At 48.6% G+C, this 19,855-nt stretch overlaps 1 protein-coding gene and 1 pseudogene across 3 annotated transcripts, besides 2 other annotated features; one reads left to right on the top strand and one right to left on the bottom strand.

Moving 5' to 3' along the window:
• Positions 5,213-6,158, bottom strand: LOC100422510 (solute carrier family 12 member 3 pseudogene; annotated as a pseudogene).
• Positions 8,040-8,949: an enhancer, noted in NCBI's record as "H3K27ac-H3K4me1 hESC enhancer chr14:20903872-20904781 (GRCh37/hg19 assembly coordinates)". NCBI's record gives its function as "activates a minimal SCP1, AML or CMV promoter by ChIP-STARR-seq in naive H9 embryonic stem cells {active_cell/tissue: H9 hESC(naive)}" and the evidence as "EXISTENCE:reporter gene assay evidence [ECO:0000049][PMID:30033119]".
• Positions 8,496-18,810, top strand: KLHL33 (kelch like family member 33). Of its 3 annotated transcripts, none has more exons than NM_001365790.2 (5): positions 8,496-8,563; positions 8,832-9,598; positions 13,943-14,867; positions 14,993-15,160; positions 15,261-18,810. In NM_001365790.2, the coding sequence occupies exons 2-5, from the start codon at positions 8,851-8,853 to the stop codon at positions 15,811-15,813; spliced, it is 2,394 nt and encodes a 797-aa protein (NP_001352719.1). In that variant the 5' UTR covers positions 8,496-8,563; positions 8,832-8,850; the 3' UTR covers positions 15,814-18,810. The 3 variants fall into 3 exon arrangements, with proteins under 3 accessions (NP_001352719.1, XP_011534752.1, NP_001103467.2); XM_011536450.3 differs by having other exon boundaries at positions 8,496-8,710; NM_001109997.3 differs by lacking the exon at positions 8,496-8,563 and having other exon boundaries at positions 8,832-9,198; positions 15,261-18,807.
• Positions 15,036-15,668: an enhancer, noted in NCBI's record as "H3K4me1 hESC enhancer chr14:20897153-20897785 (GRCh37/hg19 assembly coordinates)". NCBI's record gives its function as "activates a minimal SCP1, AML or CMV promoter by ChIP-STARR-seq in primed H9 embryonic stem cells {active_cell/tissue: H9 hESC(primed)}" and the evidence as "EXISTENCE:reporter gene assay evidence [ECO:0000049][PMID:30033119]".
• Positions 18,811-19,855: the final 1,045 nt, after the last annotated feature.

Raw genomic sequence — 19,855 nt, 5'->3', positions numbered from 1 at the left:
ACTTAGAAAGACTTGTCTTCAATTTCTCTCCACCAGTTCCCTATTAAATCTCCACCAAAACTATTCTTATCACAGTCACTGATGACCTGCACATAGCTAAATCTAATGGCGTATTCTTCATCCTCAGAAGCTATCAGCAGCATTTGACACTCCCTCTTTGAAAAGTTTCCTTACTTGGCTTTAGGATGCATTCTCTGGTCTGCCTCCTAGCTTACTGACTGCCCTTTCTTAATCTCCTTTGCTAGTTTCTCCTCATCTCCACAGAGTTTAGTCCTCAGACTGCTCTCTTTACACATACACCTGTAGTGACTTCATCTAGTTGTATACATTAAAATCATTTTGATGGGGGTTACTCCCAGTTATAGTTCCAACCTGGACTTCTATCCCAAATACCTAGCTGCTCATTGGCACCTCCACTTGGATGCTTAATAGGCGTCTCAAATTTAACATATTCAAAATTGCACTTATTCTTTCCCCAACTTAGTCCTGTAGTCTTTCTTATTTCTGTCAACGACAACTCCATTCTAGTTGTTCATGTCAAAGTATCTTTGTCAGTTTTCTTTCTTCTCCAATTAATCAAATCCTCTTGGCTCTACCTTCAAAATACATCCAGAATTCCATTTCTCCTCACTTCCACTGCTGCCACTGTAGATCAAGCCAGAATTATGTGTCTTCAAGATTATTGCAGTAGCTGCTCCTTCTCCTTTCCCCATTGCCAACTTAGAGTCAATTCTCCACATAGCAGCCAGAGTGAATAGTGTTAGCGTGGAAGCCAGATCATGTTACTCTTCTGCTCAAAACCTTCAGTGCTTTCTTACATCAAAAGAAAAACCAGAGTCTTTTTATTTATTTTTTTTTAGTATTTATTGATCATTCTTGGGTGTTTCTCGGAGAGGGGGATTTGGCAGGGTCATAGGACAATAGTGGAGGGAAGGTCAGCAGATAAACATGTGAACAAAGGTCTCTGGTTTTCCTAGGCAGAGGGCCCTGCCGCCTTCCGCAGTGTTTGTGCCCCTGGGTACTTGAGATTAGGGAGTGGTGATGACTCTTAACCAGCATGCTGCCTTCAAGCATCTGTTTAACAAAACACATCTTGCACCGCCCTTAATCCATTTAACCCTGAGTGGACACAGCACATGTTTCAGAGAGCACGGGGTTGGGGGTAAGGTTATAGATTAACAGCATCCCAAGGCAGAAGAATTTTTCTTAGTACAGAACAAAATGGAGTCTCCCATGTCTACTTCTTTCTACACAGACACAGCAACAATCCGATTTCTCTATCTTTTCCCCACATTTCCCACTTTTCTATTTGACAAAACCGCCATCGTCATCATGGCCCGTTCTCAATGAGCTGTTGGGTACACCTCCCAGACCGGGTGGCGGCCGGGCAGAGGGGCTCCTCACTTCCCAGAAGGGGCGGCCAGGCAGAGGCGCCCCCCACCTCCCTCCCGGACAGGGCGGCTGGCCAGTCTATTTAAAGGCCTGTGAGACCCTCTGTGATCCACTCTGCCCTTCCCTGCCTACCACTTTGATCTGCTACTCAATTCCTTGTTTGCGCTGCTCCAGCAACACGGGCTTTTCTGTTGGCCTTTAAACACCACAGTTGTCCTCTGAGGTGGGAGGAGAGTATTGGGTACTTGGTAAATGCAGAGTTCATTTTCTAGTCCTTTCTGGTTTATATGTCACTATCTTCCCTCTCCTATTCTCCCTGGAACTTGGAGAACTTGGGACTTCCTGGGGAGCCATGGAGTCCCTACCTTCATCATCACCGAGCCAGTACACGTCCACTGCCCTCCGGCCTTGCTTGGATTGGAACATTGAGGCTGCTGGAATAAGGATGCTGCCCGAGAAAAGAGAAGAAAAGAATGAGACAAACTCCTTTCCAGCTGAGCAGTTGCTCCTAATTCAGTATAATACCTCTCCTCCCCTATGAGAATTATTGCTATCCTAGAGAAACGTCATGTGGCTTCTCTCCGCATTGACTAACCGCATTTCCTTTTTATTTTCCTTGGTGTCTGCTTCTCTAACCCGCTCTACAACTCTGTTATTCCTAAAAACAGGACATGTTTTAGAATTGGTCTCCTGCCTGCTAAGTATCCATCCCTATGACATCCAAATATGCTGGGTGTACTGGGAAAAGTGGGGGTATAACACAAAATAATGTTATCTTTTTGCTAAGGATGCCCAAAATTTAACTGATAAGATGTGTAATATTATTAGAATTGGGGTAGTGCCAGAAACCCTTCTCTAGAATTGGGCCATAGCCCTTCCTGACCACACTCCAGCTTACCCTGCTATGTTGTATCTTTTGATCCAAATTTCTCCCACCTGAATTTAGAAGATACCTTTAAAGTTTTCCCCCACCCTGAAAATTTCAGGAGAACTAAAGCTCAAGCAAAATTCATTTCTCTCGCATCCTGGTACCCAATTCTATTCAGTCTTAGGTCTTGGTAACTCTAGATGAGTTCATTTGCCTCCCAGACTGTCTTTGAGAGCCAATTTCTATACCTCCCACACCACATCCTTCTCTTAGGCCCACCTCTTTTCACTCACCTTGAGCTTGGTGTTGAGTAGCCGGGCTTAACCCTCCTGGCATCCTTATGAGGCCTATGCCATAGTTGTAGTCAAAGTCATCACTTTATGGAGAGGAGAGAAAAAGAGATATAGGAGGAAGAGATGAAGGGGTGGGGGTCTCTTTCCTGGGGACACAGGCACTGCTGGGCAGCTGTTGGGAACAAGGGCTTCACCACGATTATATTTCCTCTTCTTTCTAGTTCCTGACCATTTCTATGTCCATCTTACCCTTCTCTATCTCACATTCGCACTAGAATGCCTATGTAGTACTCCATGGCAGATACAGGCCCTTTCTCCCAATTTTGCTTATATCCCAAGACCAGCACATTGGACTTCAGTTGGTTCAAACATGAGACCTGAAAGGAGAAGCAATGAGGAAAGAAGGGGATATGGTATGTTGGATGAGAGGTGACAAGAAGGCTTCCTTTTTCTCCACTACCCCGCCCAGATTTCAGGAAGCTAGTTTCCTTCTGTGTCTGAGCAGATAACCCTGCAGAGGTTCATGGTTCTTGCCATGGCCTTTCCCAAAAAAGCCAAAAGTTTGCAAGAACCAGTCATGTAGTATTAAAGAATAAAGTGGACCAAGTGGGAACTGTGGCAAACTGGAGAGCACCTGCCTTGTCCCATGGGACAGGAGCTACTCAGCCCCAGCTAACTGTGTCATGTGGGTTGGAGGCCCAGGATTAGCAGATGCCTGGATCTTAAACGTTGGTAGTTTATTTTAAAAATTGTAAATGCTGTGCAATCAAAAAACTCATTTCCAGGCAACATTCCGTCCATAGGCCACCGTTTTCAATCTCTCATCTACAGACTTCCTGACTGGAAGTTCTTAATGTGATCTTACACATTGGTGAGGCTCACTGAGTAGGACAGCGCCATTTGGTAGGTGTCTGCCTGGGCTGAAGAGCCCCAGTTCACAACTGTGCAGAGAAAGGGGTGGTGCATCAATGGTGAGGTAGAAGAGGAAACACTGTTCGTAGTTCTGGGCTTCTTCTAGGGGCCAGCCTCCTGTTGTAACTCACTTCCTGACTCCCTGCACACCCGCCTACTCACTCACCAGGTTTTGTAGATCATATAACAGCAGAAGGGTAAGCAACACAGTAATCAGTGTTGCCCGCCATGTGAGGAGGAATGTGATGAGCAGGCAGAGCAGAGAGCCCAGGAGAGAGACCCAGGGACTTTACCTGCAGAAGGAAAGGCGCCAGCCTGCAGGGGACAGCAAATGTAAGCCCTTGTCTTAGCCCCAGCACCACCCACTCATGTACCGCAAGGATGCTCTCCCAACTCCCCAGGTCTTTCCAGCCCTAGAGCTTACCTGAACACCTGCCCACACTAACCAGACAACCAGGTAAGGGAGGCGTAGAGACAGCCAAAGTTGAGGGCACAGGAACAGAGGAGGAAGTTGGCGATGGTGGGGGCAATGATACTCAGCTCGGCTTTGGGGGAGATGAAAGGTCAGGAGTGAGTCTCCACACTAGTGTCATAAGATGCAGGTCTAGAAGTCCAGGACATCATTTTATGGTTTTCTCCATTCTCTCTATTCCCTTCTTACTCCTCACTCCACCCCCACACACATACCACCCCTAGCAGTGCAAGGTTAGGAGACATTTTTCGTCCACTTTCAGGAAAAGAGAGATAGAAAAGAGGTTTTAGGATCAGCTCCTAGAAGCCAGAGGTAGGGCTGGGAAGGGCCTGAGAGGAATGGTGATTAATAGAGCCCAGTGTGGAGGGTGGGGTGGGGAGTAGTCACCGATAAGGATGAAACCTACAGCAGTGAGGAAGGTGAGCAGATAGCCCCACAGAGGCTCGTGGTTCTTGCCATGGCCTTTCCCCCCAAAAAAGCCAGTGATTGTGTATGGTTTATCCTGGCACAGCTGCTGCAAGAGGTCTTGGTGATCAATAGGGGAGGGTCCCAGGAAGTAGGAGAATGAGAGCCCTCTCCCTCTAAAGAGGCAGGAGAGTGGGAAGCATAGACAGAAGTCAAGGGAGTTTAGGGGTCAGAGGCAGAAAGGATAGGAGTAGAGGGAGTAGGGGGTGGTAAGATCCCTGGGAATGAGGGATGGGAAAAACTGAGAGTGGGGAGGTAGATAGATGAGTGACACCGGGCCAGGCCTGGGGGCTCACGCCTGTAATCCCAGCACTTTGGAAGGCTAAGGCGGGTGAATCACAAGGTCAGGAGTTCGAGAACAACCTGGCCAACATAGTGAAACCCCATCTCTACTAAAAATATAAAAATTAACTGGATGTGGTGGCACGTGCCTGTACTTGGGAGGCTGAGGCGAGAGAATCACTTGAACCTGGGAGGCGGAGGTTGCAGTGAGCCGAGACCATGCCATTGCACTCCAGCCTGGGTGACAAAGTGAGACTGTGTCTCAAAAAAAAAAAAAGAGTGACACCTTCCCCATACTTTCCCTTGATTTACAGGCAGACTTTGAATGTTGCTATGTGGGCTTGGATTATCTCTTTAAACATTAGCCAGCCACAGTCATCTCCATCTCCCAAAGTTACCTTCTAACTCCCAGTTGCTGAGAACTGAGCCGTCTTTTGCCCCTCCTCAAAAATTATACACTTGGGATGACCGTGTCTACTAACATTCTTTCCTTTCTCTTGCAAGCCTCTTGCTAAGATCTCAACTAGCCTGGAAGATATTAGGGGCTGAAACAAAGCAGGAAAGGGTACAGAACAGAATGGCTCTCAAGATTCCAGCAGACATCAGAGGGCTAAAGGCAGACACCATGTTCATGGTCTGAGGAAAAGGGCAGACAGAGGCAAAAATCAATGCCTTTCCAAAGTAATGCATTCCACCCGTATTTTCACCTAGTTTTCCCAGACTTATTAAAATTTATCTGCATCTTTGAAGGTTTTGCCCCAAATTAATCAACTTAAACATCTATGCTATGCCAGGCAATGGGCAAGGTTTCTCTCTCTACACTTCCGCTCTGGTTCACTCACCTCATAGTGATTAGAGAGCCCACAGAGGCAGGACCCTTGCTCTCGACAACTGCTGAAATCCCAGCCATACTGGCACTTTGCGCCCAGGCGGCTCCCATTCTGCACACCCATGTCAGTCCTATTTTCGGAAGCACGTTGAATCATACAGGAGCCTAGAAATGAGATTGAGGATACACATTTCTTCATGGGAAGAAAACCCCATCCCAAAGCAGTAGGGCTATCTAGGTACCACCAGTACCAAAAGGGGAAATGAAAATGTTTGTGTGGCAGGGGTTGGGGGAGTGAGGAAATGACCAAATGTGATCATCGAAGAACACCATACAATTCATTAACAGATATGAGGGATGGGGAAACATGAAGGGAGGAGCGGGAGTCACTACAGACTCACCAGCCTTGATTTTGCCGTTGCTGGAGATGGCTGAGATAGACAATCCAGTGACAGTATGACTGAGGCCAAGAACAGGATGATGAGCCATGTGAGCCCTGGGGTGAGGATGGGAATTTATTCATACATGCACATCCCTTCCTACTGCCCAGGAGAGCTCTGAGCTCATACCTGTGCCTGCCTGAGCAGCGATCCAAGGCAGCTGCAGGTAGAGAATGATGCCCCAGATATTGAGCATACAGCAAATCTGGGGAGCGGGGTGGTAAGGGAGGGGTTGCAGTCTCCAGTGTGAGTCCCACCCCTTGCCCCCTTCTTCAGAGGTACCTCCCAAAAACTCCCCTGGAGCAAAGAGTTCTCGCCTGCCTAGATCCCCAGACTTAGGGAACCATGAGCGCCAATCCATTACCATGACTCCTATGACCCAGCTGAAGTGCACTGGGGCCTTGCCGATTTTGGCCCCAGAATTCTCCAGATCATCTTGGGAGTGTGGCTGGGTGTGGGTTTCCTCTCGAGGTGGACGTGGCACTATTTCTTGGCTGGGACAGCACATACATAACTGAAATGCCAAGACCCCTTGCTAGCCAGCGCGTCTGCAACCAGGAGGACAGCTAATGGACCTGGAGGGCAGTCCCAGAGCTACATGAAGGGTGGTGGTAGCCCACAGGCAGATGTTATCCTACCTTCAGGAGTTCACTGTGGGGCCTGGGTCTTACCAAGCTGTATGGAGCCATCCCAGGACTACGGAGTTGGCATAGAACTCGTAGCAGGGTCCAGTGTCCTCATCCTTGTAAGCAGTTGGTGAACAGAGGCTGGCTCGGGGTATGTCTCCACCAGATTGCAGTTCCTCCAACTCCTGGTTGGGGGCCAAGATGCTGGCCACATTGTCTTGCTCTGGGGAGGACATGAGAGGCATTCGAAATGTCTGAACTGGGAAACAGGGTGCAGAGCCTGGACACTATCTCCCCATTTGCTGGCCAGGATAACCATAAACTGCCTCTCAGTCGAACCATTTTGGGGAGTGCACCTGCTGGCTAGGCTCACCCAGGGAATGCTAGCTACTCAGAGTTGCCAGGGGTACCCAGGCCACAAATGGGGAAATGGAGACAACTCTGAAAGTAGGAGGGGGTGCTGTGCAGGTCAGCCCACTTCCCACCCTACCCCGCCCTCCACATGAGCCCTTTCATCTGAATCACAAGGAGCAATCGTTCCTCCTTCCCTTATTAAGTCTGCCTGTGGAGTCAACCTATCCAGCCTGGACCAGACATTTTATAGGCCAGGAAGTAGGAGTCCTTGGCCTGTCCTACCTCCCCCAGAGAAGGGAGAGGAAGTGTGTCACTGCACCTTTCCCTAAATCCTTTCTGCAAGATGACACTCAAAACTGCGGCACAAAGTGATTGCCTGGCTTTTAGGGGCTTTAGTCTAGCACTTGGCCTCAGGATGAGAAAGGAAGTGTTGTCCTGGAGGGAGAAGGAGTGGCTGTTACCGTCTGGCTCAAATGGAATACTTGCATGTCCATAGCCCATCTAGTCCAGGACTCTGGTCCTCACAGCATGCAGATCAAGCACACCTTCCACTGTCTGGTTCTTATCCCAGTGCCAAGATGAGAGTTAGAATTCCCCACACTTTTCCAAAGACACAGGGTTGGATTTCAGGCTCTTACCCTGGACCCCACCTCTGGACAGATAGTAATCCCTGTGTGGGGTGAGCCACCTAGGTCCGTAGCCCTGCCCCCTGGCCCTTCACTTTCCCCACTCTTCTGCCCTCCATGAATAAAGCTGGGCTATATTCGCTCCTGGGTCCCAGCTTTTTTGTTTTTTGAGACAGGGTTTTGCTCTGTCACCCAAGCTGGAGTGTGTGGTGCGACCTCAGCTCACTGCAACCTCTGCCTCCTGGGCTCAAGTGATCCTCCCACCTCAGCCTCCTAAGAAGCTGGGACTAAAGATGTGCCCCACCATGCCTGGCTCATTTTTGTATTTTTTTGTAGAGATGGGGTTTCACCATGTTGCCCAGTTTGGTCTCAAACTGCTGGCCTCAAGTGATCCATCCGCCTTGGCCTCCCACAGTGCTATGACTACAGGCATGAGACACCACGTCCAGCTAATTTTTGTAATTTTTGGTAGATATAAAAAATATGGAGTTTCATCATATTACCCAGGCTGGTCTCAAATTCCTGGGCTCCAGTGACTCACCCACCTTGGCCTCCCAAAGTGCTAGGATTACAGGCAAGAACCACCATGCCCGGCGGGGTCCCAGCTTTATCATGCACAGAAAAGTCAACAGCCAAAGCCTGGTCCAGACTCTTTGCCTGATCCTTCCAGCCCACTCTAGTGGCCCAGCCCTTCTGGCCTTGGGCTCATTCCACCAGATCCCCTCATTCTCCTTGGTTTCCTAATTTGCCTAGCTCAGCACACTCCTGTATGACCTACAGGTGGAAGGGTGGGGATGTCAGTCTGGGAGGGAGCCCAGGGGATTGGGTGTCAGAGTTAGGACACCAGGTGCCAAGTGCCTAGCCAGCCAGGACTGGCTATAATTAGCCCCATGGGGCCACTGGCTGACTGGGATGCCATGTGGGCAAGTTCCCTCTGCCACGCAGCCCCAAGCACAGCGGGCGCTTAAGTGAGAGGGCAAGCGGAACGCTGGTGTCTCCTGAGGGTGACTAAAAGGATGGGGGCAATAGGGGAGGGGTGTGGTCCCGGTTACCGGATCTTTACAGGGCTTCTTGCATGTTTCACTGCACCGCGTGCACCCTATAGCTGTCCTGTATATCCCAGATACTCCAGTGCTGGGATGTGGCTGAGGGTAGGAGGAGGGTGTTGGAGCAGGGGAGAGACTGACATTTCAACTGGCTGGAGACATGGTTGCTCTGGCCTCTTTGGGCCCAGCTCTGACGCCAGGCTGTCTTGCCTCTGCTCACCTGCAGCTATCCAGCAAACCTCGGCATGAGCGTCTCGGACACCCCACATTATCCCCCTGAGCTGGAGAGTGTCTCTCATCCCGTCCAGAGGGACTGCCTTGGACTCCTTGTGCACGCCCAGAGAACCCCTTCCTGGCCTCCCTCCCCCGACGAGGATCCCAGATTGCCTTCCTTTCCTCTGGAGGAGCCTGGTTCCAGGCCCCTGGTCCCAAGGAACCTTCCCTTTCCAGCCTTGTCCCTAGAGGAAGAAGAGGAAGAGGAAGAAGATGAAGATGCGGCAGAGCCCGAGTGGCTGCGCAGCGAGGAGCATCCGAGCCAGTTTTTCGCCGAGGCCCAGCGGCTGCGGGAGCAGAGACTGTTGCTGGACGAAGAGGTGTCAGTCGCGGGGCGGGTATACGGGGTGCATCGGGTGATCCTGGCCGCAATCAGCAGCCTCTTCCGAGACAGGCTGCTGGGCGGCGGAGGTCCGCGGCCCCCCTTCAGCCTCGAGGTGTCCCCAGGGGGCTGGGAGGCCGTGCTGACCTTTGCCTATGAGGGGGTGCTGGGCCCCGCCTCGCAGGGGGATGTGCTGGCCGCAGCAGAGGCGCTGGGAGCGCCCCGGGTGAAGGCTGCTGCCCAGCAGACATGCGAGAGGGCTGGAAATGCCAGGGAAGATGTAAAGAAGCCCAGCCAGGCAGAGGAGCTGAGGGAGAACCTGCGCGGAATCGAGCTCCTCTACCGAGAGGGCGTCGGGTGTGACTTGAAGCTGGAGGCAGGCGGCTGCCAGCTGTCGGGTGAGGGCCTGTGGGGCATTAAATTACTGCAGGTGCATATGCTAACGGAATGGTGTGTGCAAGCAGCAGGTGGTTTTATCCCCACCATGATGGTTTTGATCCCTGCTGCTGTCAGAATTTCCCTGGGGTGGCCTTTGGTGCCTCTCCTGCCCCACGGAGAGCCGGGCATGCGCAGTCGAGTTGTTTTCTAGGCGCTCTGACAGATTTAAACTGACCCTCTGTCTGGCTTTTCCTGTGTCCAGTAACAAGGAATCTCCAGCCAGCTGGCTAGAGCTAAGGGTACAATCCATGGCAGTAGAACAAGCAGAAAGTGGATTGACTCAAGCAGAAATTAACAAAAGGCCCTTCTTGGCATCCTCCATTCAGGACACAGGAAAGCCAGGGGAACATGGTGGAAAACTCAATGTGTGCTTTCACCTTGGTGTGCTTGACGCCATGGCTGACTTATGGGCCCTGCAGCTAATGAGCAAGGTCTGGTACTGTTTAAGGTTACCAGGCCGTGGCACTTTTTTTTTTTTTTTCTGAGACAGCATCTCACTCTGTTGCCCAGGCTGGAGTGCAGTGGCACAATCTTGGCTCACTGCAACCTGCACCTCCTGGGTTCAAGTGATTGTCCTGCCTCAGCCTCCCGAGTAGCTGGGATTACAGGCACCTGCCACCATGCCTGGCTAATTTTTTTGGTATTTTTTTAGTAGAGATGGGGTTTCACCAGGTTGGCCAGGCTTGTCTTGAACTCTTAACCTCAGGTGATCCACCTGTCTCATGCTGGGATTACAGGCATGAGTCACTGCACCCGGCCTGGCCATGGCACTTTGAAGTTAACTCTGCTCATCACCAGGAAAGCTAAGTAGGGTTGCATAAGTTGAGTATTATTCGGAGTCTACTAACATTTAGTGAGGCACTGGGTACCTGAAATTTTTACACATGACATCTCTTTTTAAATTTTACTGAAAGCTGGTGAGGTCAATATCATTATCTACAGGTGCACATAAGGAACATTAAATTTGGAGATGTTGACTTGGGACAACCCCAGGATACAAGCCTACATCACTAGTCCAGTCTCCTTCCACTAGGCCATGTGGACACATTGAAAGTTTAAAATTACAAGGGATTAGTTTAGAGATTATCTAGTTGGGCTGTTACACTTTGATGATGACGAAATCAGAATCCAAGACTTGTCCAAAGTCACATAGCTACTGCCCATTAGAGGAGTGACTGGGAACTGAAGTGCTTCTGGGACTCCTAGAAGGAAAACCACTCCAAAAGTCTATTTTCATTTATGATAGCACTAGATGGAGAGGGGATTTAAATTTTTCATAATCATAAAATTCTCACTAGGCTTTTGAATTTAAGCATACTCATATCACTGCTTTTATTTCCCTAGGAAATATTCCTACTTAATGGTTGCGAATCTGTCACTTAAAATCCTAGGGTATAGTAATGAGTAAGAGGTGAATACAAGTGGCTGTGAGCCCTTTCAGGGTTGGCTCTGAACTATAGGTTGATTGATGATATGGGAGCTGAGATGGCTTAGCTTGTTTTGAGGAATGCAGATTTTCTCAGACAATATATATTTGAAATCTGTCATTGATGTTTACTACTTGGGAAGCACCAGGCCACTACCTACTGCTTAAAAGACAGTGGAAAGTCATATGAACAACACCTGCCCTTTGGGAAAGGCACGCATGCCTCAGTTGGTCAAAGCAGCATGGAGTTCTTAAACAGCTTGGCCCTCTGTGACCTGCCTAAAAGGACTTCTAGGAGCATTACCCCCCACCTTTTTATTATGAAGCATTTTACAAAACCAAGAATATTAAGATGAACATTCAAACAACACCCATCACCCAGATTTAACAACTAATATTTTACTATATTTATTTCATCTGTTCATTTTATTTTTTACTGAAGTTTAAAGGAAATTCATGACATTTTACTCATAAGTATTTGGGTATGTATCTTTTTAAAAGAAGACAATTCTGTGGGACTAGGTGTGAAAGGAAAAAATAAAACAAAGAGGACATTTTCTCATAACCATAATACCTTTATCATGCACGACAAAATTAATAGTAATTTCTCTCTTTCTTTCTTTCTTTCTTTCTTTCTTTCTTTCTTTCTTTCTTTCTTTCTTTCTTTCTTTTTTTTGAGATGGAATCTTGTTCTGTCACCCAGGCTGGAGTACAATGGCACGATCTCGGCTCACTGCAGCCTTCACCTCCCAGGTTCAAGTGATTCTCCTGCCTCAGCCTCCCGAGTAACTGGGATTACAGGCGTGCACCACCACACCCAGCTAATTTTTGTATTTTTTGTAGAGATGGGGTTTCACCATGTTGGCTGGTCTGGTCTTGAACTCCTGACCTCAGGTGATCCACCTGCCTTAGCCTCCCAAAATGCTGGGTTTACAGGCATGAGCCACCGCGCCTGGCCAGTAATTTTTTAATATCACCTAGTCCACATTTATATTTTCCCAGTTGTCCAAAAAACATTTTTTAAAGTGAGTTTGTTCAACCCAGGAATTAATCAAGGACTATGCTATTCTCAGTTGCATGTCTCTTAAGCTTCCTTTAATCTAGTACAGTCCTTCCTCCTTTTTTTTTTTTATTACTTTATATATTGATTGGTAAAGACAATAACATGTAAGATTGGTTACCCTGGGCCAGGCATAGTGGCTCACGCCTGTAATCCCAACACTTTGGGAGGCCGAGGCAGGCAGATCACTTGAGGCCAGGAGTTCAAGGTTAGCCTGTCCAACATGGCGAAACCGTCTCTACTAAAAATACAAAAATTAGCCAGGCATGGTAGCGTGCACCTGTAGTCCCAGCTAATCTGGAAGCTGAGGCACGAGAATCACATGAAGCTGGAGGGTGGAGGTTGCAGTGAGCCGAGATTGTACCACTGCACTCCAGGCAGGGTGACAGAGTAAGACCCTATCTCAAAAAAAAAAAAATTGGTTATCCTATAAAATGCTCCATTTTCTTGATTTGTGTGGTTTTTCCCCTCTAAATTGTTCCTTTAGCCTTTCAACTTCCTATAAACTTGACTTTAGATCTAAAGAGTTGAACAGATTCAAGTTAAATATTTTGGCCAGAATAATCCATAAGTGATGCTGAGTATGAGGTCTAATTGTTTAACAGCGTAGGTTAATAGGACAGTTTCATTGTCATGAGGACCATGCAGATAACCAAGGTATTGGTACACAAGCATGCTTATTGCAGCCTGACATCAGTGGCAGTGGATGGAGATGATCTGCCCACACAGCCACTGCATGGAAATGAAAAATAAATCACATGCTTTCTTTGGGACCCAACTCAGTTTCCACATTTTATTTATTTATTTATTTTGAGATGGAGTCTCGCTCTGTCACCCAGGCTGGGTGCAGCGGCGCAGTCTCAGCTCATTGCAACCCTCGCCTCCCAGGTTCAAGCTATTCTCCTGCCTCAGTCTCCAAGTAGCTGGGATTACAGGCGCCTGCCACCATGCCCGGCTAATGTTTGTATTTTTGGTAGAGATGGAGTTTCACCATGTTGGCCAGGCTGGCCTTGAACTCCTGACCTCAAGTGATCCTACCCACCTCAGCCTCCCAAAGTGCTGGGATTACAGGTGTGTGCCACGACACCCAACCAGTTTCCTTATTTTAAAGGGAATAATTGAATTAGATTATTTTGAAGTTCTCAAGTTTCAGATCTCATGATTCTACAAATTACACCAAGAACAGGAGAGGGTTATGCAGAGAAAAGCTGGGACGCACGGAAAACATTAAACACTAAATCTTAGGCAAGAGGAGACAGCAATCCGATGAGGTTGGATTACAGCCATTCCCGAGTGGTGCCACTTTCCCAGCAAAATCTAACAGAATGGCTGACAGTCTTGGCTCTTGATTGTAAAGAATTTTATTTTGTCACGATATAGACAGACCTATATAAGTTGCTTGTTGGTCATTTCCCATTTATTTTGTGCTCCTCTTAGCAAATGCTTTCCTCTCAACCTGATCCATGAAGACTCTTTTTCTGACTCATCTGACCAAAAAGACTAAAGCAATGTTTATCTAAGTGTCTTCAGGCCACTAACATGAGAATCACATAGGGTTACTTGAAGTGTTACAATACAAATTTCTAGGGTCTCCGTCCAGAACTGCTGAATCAGAATCTCTGGGAGTGGACTGCTGAAACCTGCATTTTAACAACTACCCCATGGTATTCTGATGCACACCACAGTTTGGTCTGTAGCAGTGGGTGGCTTGGAGGGCCAAACTTAGAGTTTGGCCAAACTTAGAGTACCAAGTTGGGGTAATGCCTATCGGTCTTGCAATACTTTGAGTCCTCCTCTATTCCTTCTCCCCTCCTGCAGTGCACCGAGCCGCCCTGGCCTGTGGCAGTGAGTTCTTTGGGGCCATGCTCCTGAGCGGGATGAGGGAATCCCAGGGCACAGAGGTATCTCTGCGGACGATCTCCACCCAGGACCTGCGACTCCTCGTCTCTTTTGCTTACTCCGGAGTTGTGCGGGCAAGGTGGCCAGGGCTACTGAGAGCTGCCCAGGCTGCTCTGCAGTACCAGAGCTCTTCCTGCTTGGATTTGTGTCAGAAAGGCTTGGCACGGGGCCTCAGCCCTGCCCGTTGCCTGGCCCTGTTCCCCATGGCGGAAGCCCCTGGGTTGGAGAGGCTCTGGAGCAAAGCCCGTCACTACCTCCTCACCCACCTGCCTGCTGTAGCCTTGTGTCCTGCTTTCCCTTCTTTACCAGCTGCCTGCTTGGCTGAGCTCCTGGATAGTGATGAGCTCCATGTGCAGGAGGAGTTTGAGGCCTTTGTGGCTGCACGGTGTTGGCTGGCTGCCAACCCCGAGACCCAGGAGTCAGAGGCCAAGGCCCTGCTGCGATGTGTCCGCTTTGGCCGCATGTCCACCAGGGAGTTGCGGAGGGTGCGGGCAGCCGGGCTACTTCCACCCCTGACCCCAGATCTGTTGCACCAGCTGATGGTAGAGGCTGATGTTCCAGGCCAAGAGAGACGGAGGGAGCCTGACCGGGCACTGGTAGTGATTGGCGGGGATGGGCTCAGACCAGACATGGCCCTAAGACAACCATCCCGAGCAGTGTGGTGGGCCCGGGCCTTCCGCTGTGGCGTGGGACTGGTACGAACTGTTGAGTGGGGGCAGCTGCCTGCCCTGCCTGCCCCCGGACGCTTCCGGCATGGGGCTGCAAGCCTGGCAGGAAGTGAACTCTATGTGTGTGGGGGACAAGATTTCTACAGTCACTCCAACACCCTGGCTTCAACTCTCAGGTATAAGCTTCTAGGAGTGGGCAGGGTGTGGCAGGCCCTAAGGTGGGCAGGGAGAGAAATTGCTGGCCTAGCCAACCACGGATGCCCAGAGTCCCTCTTCCAATCTCTTGTCCTACTGTGTCCAGGTGGGAGCCCAGTCAAGAGGACTGGGAGGAGATGGCTCCTTTGTCCCAGGCTCGAAGCCTTTTCTCCTTGGTGGCACTGGATGGAAAACTTTATGCCCTGGGTGGAAGACACAATGATGTTGCCCTGGACTCTGTGGAGACCTACAACCCTGAGCTCAATGTCTGGAGGTAAGCAGGCAAGGGGGCATCTGGGAGAGATTAGGAGACTTGGAATAGAAGGAGAGTTGAAGATGCTAGTTGCCTTATCTTGTGTCCTGTTCTCCCTTAGGCCAGCACCTGCACTTCCAGCACCATGTTTTGCCCACGCAGCTGCGATTTTGGAGGGCCAGTTGTACGTGAGCGGTGGCTGTGGTGGGACTGGCCAATACCTGGCCTCACTGATGCACTATGACCCCAAACTTGAGAAGCCAGGGACGTTTCTGAGCCCTATGGGGGTACCTCGGGCTGGCCATGTCATGGCTGCATTGGGTGGGAGGTTGTATGTGGCAGGTGGGCTGGGTGAGACTGAGGACCTGCTAAGCTTTGAGGCCTATGAACTAAGGACTGATAGCTGGACTCACCTGGCACCCCTACCCTCCCCCCATGTGGGGGCTGCAAGTGCTGTGCTGCAGGGGGAGCTACTGGTGCTCGGGGGCTACAGTCACCGTACTTATGCCCTCTCTCACCTTATCCATGCCTACTGTCCTGGCCTGGGCCGATGGCTCTGCCTGGGAACTCTGCCAAGGCCTCGGGCTGAGATGCCTGCCTGCATCCTGACACTGCCCGCTGTGCAGCACATAGCTTTGGTTCCCACCCCACACCAAACCAAACCTGCTGGGTGAAGAGGGAGCAACAGTGTATGGGGAGAGGAGGGCATAAGAAATAGCCTGAGAGAAGGACAGAGATTGTGGGGAGTGAAAAGAGGCTTTATTCTTGGTAGTATTTTATTCTCACACTGTGCATTGTAAACTGCTTTTGTACGTATGATCTCCGTTGAGGAAATGGTGGTTCCAGAACTCCTAGGGAAAACATATAGGGAAAGGGGAGGCAGCTGAATACCCAGGTGAGGAAAGGAGACTCGGGAGCAACTCCACAAGGCTTAGGGATTCTTAGGGAAAGGGCATCTAGTTTGAAAGAGAGTTAAGAAGCTTCAGTAGCCAAAGTGTAGAGACCATGGGAGGACAGTTGGAAAAATGGTTCTGACCCATGGATCATGGGAAAAATGTGGAATGGCCATCCATGAAAGAGTTTGAGGAGTGTAGGAGTAAGGACTGTAAATCGTTCAGCCCTTTTTTTCCTGGAACTTGCTCCTTTCTCCTCTCCCACCCCTGGGATGCCTAAACCTTCTTAACAATATTCTCTCCCGGGTAACTTTGTAGGCCTGGTCTAGCGTTTCCCAGCGAGACACCACAGGCTGCCCCTGAGAACCTCTTGGTTTCCTTCTGAGGCAGAAGCTCCCACATGGACATGCACGGCACAGGGGCCTGAGAGGCCTGACGGGCCCCCCAGGGCCATGTGGCAGGAGTGTTGTGTGGGAAAGATGATGGGGGCAGAGGCCAAGGAGGGAGAGGCCCACAGTGGAAAAACAGATGATCTGAGGTTTAAGGAGATGGGGTGGAAGAAGTCAGAAGCCTGTGTGCCTTCTTTCTTTTGGGCAAACTGAGGAATCAGGAGTGAAAATGAGACCGTTGTTGCCTGAGGTCTCAAGTGGTGAGAGGATGTGGGGGGAGAGAAGAGTGAGAAGCAGACAAGACTCAGAAAAGTCATTTCCCCCTTTCAGTTCCTTTCCCCCAGAGTTATTTTTAAATCCATTTCCCTTTATCTTGGCCAGGGAAGGTAGTCAGGTGCTTCCTCTTTCTCTCTTCCCCCATCCTGCTCTCCCCACTGCCTCTCTTTTTTCTTTCTCTTCTTTCTCCCTCACACAGTTATTAATTACCTACTGTGTGGCAGGCACTGTAGGAGGCACCAAGATACAGAGGTCAGAGAGCTCCTGACCAGCAGATAGACATAAACAAATACAAATTTTGAGTGGACTTACATGTATGGACGAGTCTTGCGAGAGCCCAGAGGATAGAGCAGTGAACTCTGCTCAGGAAGGCTTCTGTTAGGAAAGGTGTCATCCGATGGGTGTATTTTGAACTGGATCTTAAAGGCTGCCTAGAGTCTCACCCATTAGAGAAGGGGGAATGCATTTGAAACAGAAAGAAGTGGGGCATGCCATGCCCTGTTTCTCCATAGCAAAGAGGAAGTGGGTATTCCAGAGGCTTTTCAGATAATTCTGCTGCTCTTGCCACCTACTCTCTTCTCTGGAGCCTTCCTGAGGATAATGGCTTTCACTTAATGATTGTGTATTCCCGCCCTCTATGACTCACCTCTATCCTTCCTGTCTGCTCTTTCCATTTCTGCCTACTGGACAGCTGAGAGCAAAAAAGGGTCAGTTTTTTTGTGTGTGTTTAGGTCAATTTTCTTTTTCTTTTTTTTTTTTTAATTTATTTTATTTTATTATTATTATACTTTAAGTTTTAGGGTACATGTGCCCAATGTGCAGGTTAGTTACATATGTATACATGTGCCATGCTGGTGTGCTGCACCCATTAACTCGTCATTTAGCATTAGGTATATCTCCTAATGCTATCCTTCCCCCCTCCCCCCACCCCACAACATTCTCCAGAGTGTGATGTTCCCCTTCCTGTGTCCACGTGTTCTCATTGTTCAATTCCCACCTATGAGTGAGAACATGCGGTGTTTGGTTTTTTTGTCCTTGCGATAGTTTACTGAGAATGATGATTTCCAATCTCATCCATGTCCCTACAAAGGACATGAACTCATCATTTTTTATGGCTGCATAGTATTCCATGGTGTATATGTGCCACATTTTCTTAATCCGGTCTATCATTGTTGGACATTTGGGTTGGTTCCAAGTCTTTGCTATTGTGAATAGTGATGCAATAAACATATGTGTGCATGTGTCTTTATAGCGGCATGATTTATATTCCTTTGGGCATATACCCAGTAATGGGATGGCTGGGTCAAATGGTATTTCTAGTTCTAGGTCCCTGAGGAATCGCCACACTGACTTCCACAATGGTTGAACTAGTTTACAGTCCCACCAACAGTGTAAAAGTGTTCCTATTTCTCCACATCCTCTCCAGCACCTGTTGTCAATTTTCTTTTTCTTTTTTTTTTTTTTTTTTTTGAGACAGAGTTTTACTCTGTTGCCCAGGCTGGAGTGCAATGGCGTGATCTCAGCTCACCGCAAACTCTTCCTCCTGAGTTCAAGTGATTCTCCTGCCTCAGCCTCCCTGAGTTGCTGGGATTACAGCTATTACATCTGGCTAATTTTGTATTTTTAGTAGAGACGGGGTTTCTCCATGTTGGTCAGGCTGGTCTTGAACTCCCGACCTCAGGTGATCCACCCACCTCGACCTCCGAAAGTGCTGGGATTACAGGCGTGAGCCACAATGCCCGGCCTGTGTAGGTCAGTTTTCTATTACCATTGTTTATTAAGATTTTCATGTTTCTAAGGGTGATGATGGAGTCTCCCTTGCACCCTTCTTCATTCTGGCCCCAGAAGTACTTGGCATGTATTTTATTTATTTATTTTTAGATTTCGTTATTTTAGTAAGATCTTTTTCTGTATCTCTATTTAAGATAGACTAGGAATGTAATTGAAAATGAGAAGGGGTAAGTAGGATGTATAAGAGAAAAGAGAAGGAAGAATAAAGAACGGGAAGAAGGAAATTGAAGGAGATGACAAGCTCTCTGGATGAACTTCTATGAACATTTTTTGTGATTTGTACCTAAAGGCAGACTTAAATAAAGGTTTCATAGTGACTGAATCTTTCTTATCTGAGTTTCTCTACTATAAAAAGCATTCAAAATAAAATTCCCTGTATTCTGCCTTCTAGGTCTACCACATGATTGAAATCATCTCCCTCCACTGTTACTGTGACCTGCTTCTTACCAAATCTAACAATCTGTGGCCATCTTCATTCTCTTTCATCTTTCTACAGGAACTGATTGGCGTGAAAACTGGCTCTTACCCTAAAAATTTCTCTTCTTCTGGCTTTAGAGATAGCACACTCTCCTGGATGGACCTTCTCTTATTTCTCCAATCCAAAATCCAGTAAGCCAGATCAAAGTGTCCAGGGGGGTGTGGCTTCATCCTTGGAGCTGATAGCCAAGGATCCACAGGTATGTGGATGAGGGTGGTTCATTGCAGAAAGTTCTGACTTTCATTATTTGTCTTTAAAACTGAGGGAAGAGTGAGGAGAGAGGAGACCTCTGACTTGAAGGAGGACCCTAGTCAATAGTCCATTCATCAGTGAGAAGGGACTGAATATAGGCAAGGTAACAGTCTGGGTCTTCAGCCAGGCAGACTAAGAATAGGGTAATATCAGGGTAACATTTCAACCCCAGAAGGGAAGTGGAGTGAGAAGTAGGAATTGGGATAGAAACTATGCATACAGATTGGGCAGCCGTGGTGGTGACCTGGCAAGACTAGTTTGATGACTGTAGAGGCCTGGGATTCTTACCTTTGGTGAATCAGATGATAAGCCAAGGTGTTCTAGATGCTCTCTAATAGCTCCCCCAACAGTCTTCCCTCCACCCCCTTTGCTGGTGAGGGTGAAATTTCTGATATCTCTCTTATCTTTCCAAGGTTGACTCAGGTACTGGGTAGGACTGGACATGCAGGTTAATGTTTAGTACAAGTAAGTGTGTGGGACTCTAGGTATCACTTGTCTCCTGTGCCTAGTCCTGGCTGGGTTGCTCACGTTCTTCCTTTCCTTTGTTTTATGCTCCCTGTCAGGAAGCTCACCTCTCCTCTGTCTCCAACCTTGATGGTTCGCCTGGGTTCTAGTCTGATTTTTTTCAGTGATTCTC

Source organism: Homo sapiens, chromosome 14, assembly GCF_000001405.40.
Source record: "Homo sapiens chromosome 14, GRCh38.p14 Primary Assembly".
NCBI lineage: Eukaryota > Metazoa > Chordata > Mammalia > Primates > Hominidae > Homo > Homo sapiens.
This window is presented reverse-complemented; position numbering and strand designations above follow the sequence as displayed.

What these genes read in the sequence shown, in the direction of transcription:
- KLHL33 (NM_001365790.2), top strand. Translation starts at nt 8,851, where the DNA reads ATGAGCGTCTCGGACACCCCACATTATCCCCCTGAGCTGGAGAGTGTC. An exon ending in ACCCTGGCTTCAACTCTCAG is followed by an intron (nt 14,868 to 14,992) that starts GTATAAGCTTCT and finishes TACTGTGTCCAG; the next exon opens with GTGGGAGCCCAGTCAAGAGG. An exon ending in CCTGAGCTCAATGTCTGGAG is followed by an intron (nt 15,161 to 15,260) that starts GTAAGCAGGCAA and finishes GTTCTCCCTTAG; the next exon opens with GCCAGCACCTGCACTTCCAG.